Source organism: Homo sapiens, chromosome 22 (genome assembly GCF_000001405.40).
Source record: "Homo sapiens chromosome 22, GRCh38.p14 Primary Assembly".
Classification (NCBI taxonomy): Eukaryota; Metazoa; Chordata; class Mammalia; order Primates; family Hominidae; genus Homo; species Homo sapiens.
In genome coordinates, this window is record NC_000022.11 from 18,713,190 (window position 1) to 18,720,667 (window position 7,478).

Sequence of the window (7,478 nt, forward strand, 5' to 3'; positions counted from 1 at the left end):
GAACCTGGGAGGTGGAGGTTACAGTGAGCTGAGATCACACCACTGCACTCCAGCTGGGTGACAGAGCAAGACTCTGTCTCAAAAAAAAAAAAAAAAAAAAAAAAGAAGAGGTATTTGCTTCTTCATAGACATTAATGAAAGTCTGTAGATCATGAAGAATCAGCAAATATGACACTACCAAAATAAACTCATAAATCTCCAGTAATCAACCCCCCAAAAATAGAGATCTACAAATTGCCTGACAATTCAAAATAATTAAGATAGCTCAGTGAAATTTACTAGAATGTATATATCAACTCAATAATATCAAGAAAATAGTAGATGAGCAAAGCTAAAAGTTCAATAAAGATACAGAAATAATAAGAACCAAACAGAAATTCTAGAACTGAAGAATACAATGAATAAAATGAAAATGCAAGCTGGGTGCCGTGGCGGACGCCTGTAATCCCAGCACTTTGGGAGGCCGAGGCAGGCGGATCACTTGAGGTCAAGAGTTCAAGACCAGCCTGGCCAACATGCCAAAACCCCATCTGTATTAAAAATACAAAAATTAGCCAGGCATGGTGGCATATGCCTGTAATCCTAGCTACTAGGGAGGCTGAGGCAGGAGAATCGCTTGAACCGGGAGGTGGAAGTTGGAGTAAGCCAAGATGGCACCACTGCATTCAAGCCTGGGTGACACAGACTCTGTCTCAAAAATATATAAAAATAAATAAATGAATGAAATGAAAATGCAATAGAGAATTTCAATTGCAGACTTGATCAAACAGAAGAAAGAATCTGTGAAATTAAAGACAGGACATTTGAAATATCCCGTCAGAAGACCAGAAAGAAAAAAAAGTTTATAAGTAAAAACCTTTGGGATTTATAGGACACCACCATGAAGTGGGTCAAACATATTATGGACTTCCTAGAAGTAAAAAAGATAGAAAAGGCCTGAAAGTATATTTGAAGACATAATGGGTAAAAACTTTCCAAATTCTTAGAGGCAAGTGGGCTTCCAGACACATGAAGTTCAGAGGCCCCAAAAAAGGCCAGCCCAAAGACCATAATACCAAGATGTATTATAATTAAAATATCAAAAGTCAAAGACAGAGACTTTCAAAAGCAGCAAGAAGAAAGGAATTCATCACATACAAGGAAACTTCAATAAGGCTATCAGTGAATTTCTCAGCAGAAACCTTATAAGCCAGGAGAGAATAGGATGCTATATTCAATGTATTGGAAGAAAAAAACTGCCAATCAGGAAGACCACAACTTGTAAAGCTGTCCTTCAGAAATGAAAAAGAGATGATAAGGTCTTTCCCAGACTCCCACCAAAAAAATTCTAAGGGAGTTCATCACCACTGCACCTGCCTTATAAGGCAGTTTTTCAAGTTGAAATAAAAGGATTCTGATTAGCAACATTAAAACATTAAGATATTAAGTTCACAGGTAGGCCGGGCGCAGTGGCTCACGCCTGTAATCCCAGCACTTTGGGAGGCCAAGGCGGGTGGATCACAAGGTCAGAAGAGGGGGATCATGCTGGCTAACACGGTGAAACCCCGTCTCTACTAAAAATACAAAAAATTAGCCAGGCGTGGTGGCGGGTGCCTGTAGTCCCAGCTACTCGGGAGGCCGAGGCAGGAGAATGACTTGAACCCGGGAGGCAGAGCTTGCAGTGAGCCGAGATCATGGACACTGCCCTCCAGCCTGGGCGACAGAGCGAGACTCTGTCTCAAACAAAAAAGTTCACAGGGAAAGGTAAGTATATAGTCACATTCATAACACTGTAATATTGCAGTGGTGGTGTGTAAATCACTTTTCACTGTAGTATAAAAGTTAAAATGTAAAAGTATTAGGCGGCCCGGGCGCGGGGCAGCTGCTGCGGGGAGGCGGGGAGGCGGGGGGCCTGGCCGGACACCCCTGCGCCCCCTCCCCGCACCCGGGCGGAGGGCGGCCTCTTCCCCCTCCCCCTCCCCCACCACCCCCGGCAGCCGCCTCCCCCAGGACGCAGGAGGCGGGCGGAGGCCGGGTCCGCCCAGCGGGCGACTTGCGGCATGGGCCGGGTCGAGGTGGGGGGGCGGTTTCGGGGGCTGGGAAGCTGGGGTGCCGGGGACAGGAGGGTGGGGGAGCTGGGGAAAGGAGGGCTGGGGGGCCGGGGACAGGAGGGCCATGCAGGCAGTGGCAAGCGGGCGGCGAGGGCTCCGTGGGGCAGGTGGACGGGGATCAGCGCCTGGGGCTGCTCCGTTCCCCAGGCGGGTGTCGTGGCTCTGGCCTCCATGCAACTCCAGGTCTGCGCGCCCCGCGCTGCTGGAGCCCCAGTCAAAAGTCTATTTAAAAAGCAGAGAGAGGATGCTTCCCTCTGAGTGGAGCGATGAAGACCTGATCCCTGGGCCATTTGGGAACACTAGCTGCCTTTCATCACAGTCAACCTGGACTCAGAGAATGTCAAGAGCTTGTTGGTTGGGTCAAGAATGAATCTAGGCATGACGTCATAGTTTATAGTCATCCTTTTAAACCTGCAAAGAAGCATTTGCAGGTTTAAAGTTATTTCACGGGTACTGCTTGCCAATCTTTGGAGGATGTGAAGCCTGCAGAGAAATAAAGTGTCGCCCCTCTGCGCGTCGCTCCCCATCTGCCAGAATGTTTCTCATGAATGCTCCTCCAGTGGTTGCTCTCCAGCCCAAATGGGAGGCCTCTGTCCCGCCAGGGAGCTTTAGGTTCCCCGGGTGCTTCTCGGAGGCTGACAAGGGCGTGGAGAGCATGTCGGTGAGCACCCGGGTGCAGATGCTCATCAGCACGCTGCAGAGCGACAGGGCTGCTAGGGGCACCAGCGATGAGCGCACTGCGCAGAGGGGGCAGAGGGATGCCACGACGCCAGGCCTGCTGCCAAGCCCACCATGCACAAGGAGCTGCCTGCGTTGGCTGCCTGTGGTCTTGTTGCTGACTTTGACCCCGTGGGGGAGGAGGAAACTGCAGACTTTGGCCCATTGGTGCTAGATTCAGACAGTGACGATTCCGTGGACCGGGACATTGAGGAGGCCATCCAGGAGTACCTGAAGGTAAAGAGTGGAGCGGCACAGCCCGGGGCCAGCGGGGCCCAGCCATGCACAGCCTTCCAGGGCTGCGGGCGGAGGCAGTAGATGTAAGCGGGAACTGGCTCACAGCAGTGCCCAACTGCCCTGTGTTCCCCAAAACTTGTACCTGGCTCAGGTGGTGTGGCCCTGGCAGCCAGGTGGGATCCAGCAAGGACCAGGGCTCTGCCTCCCCAGTCAGCATGAGCAGAGCAGACTCCTTTGAGCAGAGCATCAGGGCAGAAATAGAACAGTTTCTGAATGAGAAAAGACAGCATGAGACCCAAAAATGTGATGGGTCAGTGGAGAAGAAACCAGACACACATGAAAATTCGGCGAAGTCACTCTCGAAATCCCACCAAGAGCCGGCTACAAAGGTGGTGCACCGGCAGGGCCTGATGGGCGTCCAGAAGGAGTTCGCCTTCTGCAGACCTCCCCCGGTTAGCAAAGACAAACGTGCAGCCCAGAAGCCTCAGGTCCAAGGTCACGACCACGACCACGCAGGAGAAGGAGGGCAGCACAAAGCCAGCAACCCCCACCGCCCTTCAGAAGCAGTACAGAATAAAAGTGGGATTAAAAGGAGCGCCAGCACCGCAAGGAGGGGAAAGCGAGTCACGAGCGCCGTACAGGCTCCCGAGGCGTCCGACTCCAGCAGCGACGACGGCATTGAGGAGGCCATCCAGCTGTACCAGGTGCAGAAAACACACAAGGAGGCCGACGGGGACCCGCCCCAGAGGGTCCAGCTCCAAGAGGAAAGAGCACCTGCCCCTCCCGCACACAGCACAAGCAGCGCCACAAAAAGTGCCTTGCCAGAGACCCACAGGAAAACACCCAGCAAGAAGAAGCCAGTGCCCACCAAGACCACGGACCCTGGTCCAGGGGATCTGGACGCTGACCATTCCCCCAAGATCCCAAAGGAAACCAAAGCTCCACCTCCAACGAGCCCGGCTTCCAGGAGCAAGTTTGTGGAATGGTCCTCTTGCCAGGCAGACACCTCCGCTGAGCTGATGTGTGTAGAAGCAGTCCTGGACATTTTCAAGACGATCCTGCCGGCCCTATGGAGGGCAGCGATGGGTCCCTGTCCGCAAGCCCACTCTTCTACTCCCCCAACGTGCCTTCCCGCTCTGATGGTGACAGTAGCTCCGTGGACAGCGACGACAGCATTGAGCAGGAAATCTGGACGTTTTTGGCCCTCAAGGTGCAGTCTAGAAGTTTGCTGGCCAGAGGTGAGAGCTGCCCTCAGGCTGCCCAGGGCCCACTTTCACCACCTGGCCTCAGCAGCCAGACCGGCAGCCCCAAGGCCCCTCTCTCTAAAACACTGGACCCACTCCTGGCTGCAAAAGGAAGCATAGAGGCGGCTGCCAAGTGAGGCCATCCACTCCCAAGAACATGCGGGTGGTGGGGAAAGAGGGTGGCCAGGATGCCGACCGCAGCCAGGGGAGAGCCGGGCCCGGCCATGAGGGGCGGGACCTTTCCATCCAGGGCACAGCCAGCGAGGCCCCGGGATGGGAGGGCGCCGCTAGGGTGGGACCTTTCCATCCAGGGCACAGCCAGCGAGGCCCCGGGAGGAGAGGGCGCCGCTAGGGTGCCCGGTGACACTCGCACGTCACAGGGCCAGGGTAAGACAGACGAGGCAAGGCACCTAGACAAGAAGAAGAGCTCCGAAGACAAAAGCAGTTCCCTGGACAGTGACAAGGACCTGGACACAGCCATCAAGGACTTGTTAAGGTCCAAGTGAAAGCTCAAGAAGAGGTCCAGGGAGCCCAGGGCTGTGTGCAGGAAGAAGGTCAGGTTCAGCACCTCCCAGACGCACTTCCAGGAGCGGCTGGGCAGGCTCCTGAGAGAGTGGAAAAACAGGCACCTGCAGGTGCTGAAGAGCTGCCTAAGTCCAAGAGAGACAGCTGCGAGGGCTCCAGGAAGAAACCCCCCAGTGTCTTTGGCAGCAGGGCCGAGAGGACGAAGCCCCGGCCTTCCTGGTGAGGAGACCCGCTTCTGCCTCCGCCTCCGAAGAGAATCTATTCCCCAGAGAGTCCCAGGGCCCAGCTCCCAGCCCTGGCTCCTTGTCTGACAACAGCAGTTCAGTGGACAGCGACGATAGCATCGAACTGGAGATTAGGAAGTTTTTGGTGGAAAAGGCCAAGGAGTCGGTGAGCAGTTCAGAAGTTCAGGCAGAGGGCCCCACCGCTCTCGGGACAGGGGGCCCAGCCAGGCCAGAGGTACCTTGCAGGAAGGAGCCGGCCCCACTGCCTGGCATGTGCACATTTGGCTGAAGGGCATCGAGGCGTAGGGAGCGCAGGAGCACAGGGCGCAGCGTGCCTGCTCAGCCAGGGTGGGAAGGGGCTCCCCACTGATCCGGCGGAGGGGATCATGCGCCACCCAGGAGGACCAGCGGCAGTGTCTCCGCCAAGGTCTCTCAGTGAGCAAGAGAAATGTTTACGTTTACAAAGACCAGAGCCCACGAGGGGCTGAGCCTGCTGCCAAAAGTGCTTTTGGTCAGCGGCCCAGCTGTGCCACAGCGGGCACCGAGGCAGGAGGAGCCAGGGGGACCTTTCACGTGGACTGCAGGAACCGGAGCTTCCTGACCCCCAGCCCGGGAGCTGAGAGGGATGCTGGAGCCCAGGCCAACCGCGCCCCGCCCTGGAGTGACTTTGCCCACCACAGTCGGCTGCCCAGCCCATGGGCACTGCGCTCCAAAGGTAGAGATGCGGCGTGGAGGGGGCGGCATTGGGAGAGAGAGACAAGGGGTCCGAGGGCCCCGCCCGGGGCCTGCCCAGCCTGCCCCTTGCGGGCTTCTCCCCGCTGCTGTCCACCCAGCTCTTCCACTTTGGAAAGGGTGTCTCCTGGGGGGGCAGGGAGACCGGCCTCTTCAGCCCCTACCTGGGGCTGCCTCTGCAGGGCCTGTCCTTCTCGGCCTTCAGGGAGTCCCAGGCCAGGCCCAGCCCTGTCTTTGGAAGCCCACACTTGCTGGCGAAGAAGGACTGCGGTCACCGGCCAAGCAGGAAGGTACAGACGGGGCTGAGTTTGCACAACAGGAAGAGCTCTGGCTCGGAGGAAAGGATTTTAGACCTGAGGTATCCACGAAGGGTCAATCAGTAGAGTTGACCAGGACCAGGACACCTTGGGCAGGGACACCAGTGACTTCAGCAACACCTCCGCAGAGGTGTTGCTGCTGCAGTGGCGGCAGCTCAGTAGTGAAGGTATAAGACCTCGAGCTGTGGGTTCGCGTCCTGGGTTCCATGCATTCGTGGAAAGCGGCATAGCCGACGTGTATCTGTGCCTGTGTGTGATGGTTCTGTGGTTGCAGGGAGGGGAAACAGTCTGTTATACATAGTCTTGTATATATGTATACCAACACGAAACAATGCTTTTATTTAACAGATGTGTCCTGGTAAATATGATTTTTGTAGATTTTGTACATTATTTAAAGTGATGAAAAATGTTTTTGGAAAATACTGTTGGTCAATTTTGTAGGGTGTTCCTTAACTGCAGTTTTCTGTGTTCTGCATACAAGTCTTAGATTAGAAAACATTTGGTTTTTATCATCACAACCAGGTTTACAGGGACTCTGATGTTTTTTGGTTGGTTGCTGGTGAGAATGGCCAGCGCTGGCTGCAGGGGTAGCCTTAGGAAGGCCGAGGTGCCCTCCCCAGGAATCGCTCACATGCCCCAAAGTGTCCGTCAGGAAGTTCCTGGGACAGCACTTTTTATACAGAGGACACCCCCCCACCACCGCCTGGCTTCATGGTCCTTGGAGGCCAGAGCACATCTGAAAACTACAGGAACGGAAAACCAAACTCCGCATGTTCTCACTCATAAGTGGGAGTTGAACAATGAGAACACTTGGACACAGGGCAGGGAATATCACACACTGAGGCCTGTTGGGGGATGGGGGCAAGGGGAGAGATAGTATTAGGAGAAGTACCTAATGTAAATGATGGGTTGATGGGTGCAGCAAACCACCATGGCACATGTATACCTAAGTAATAAACCTGCACTTTCTGCACGGCTACCCCAGAACTTAAAGTATAATTAAAAAAAAAAAAAACAGAAAAAATAAGTAGAGATTAAACCAGTAATGAAAAATCTCCCAACAAAGAAAATCCCAGGACCAAATGGTTTTACTGGTCAATTTCAACAAACATTTAAAGAATTAATAACAATCCTTCTCAAACTCTTCCAAAAAGATTGAAGAAAAGGGAACACGTTGAAACTCATTCTAAGAGGCCAGCATTATCCTGATATCAATGCCAGATAAGAACACTACAAAATAAGAAAACTATAGGTCAATATCCCTGGTTAACATAGATGCAAAAATCCTCAATGAAATACTAGTAAACCAAATTCAACAGTGCATTAAAAGAATTATTCACCATGAATCCAGTCTCTACCAAAAATCCAAAAAAAAAAAAAATTAGCTGAGCA

General features: G+C 53.4%; 1 pseudogene; it reads left to right on the forward strand.

Moving 5' to 3' along the window:
• Positions 2,431–6,454, forward strand: PPP1R26P4 (protein phosphatase 1 regulatory subunit 26 pseudogene 4; annotated as a pseudogene).
• The last annotated feature ends 1,024 nt before the right edge of the window (positions 6,455–7,478 follow it).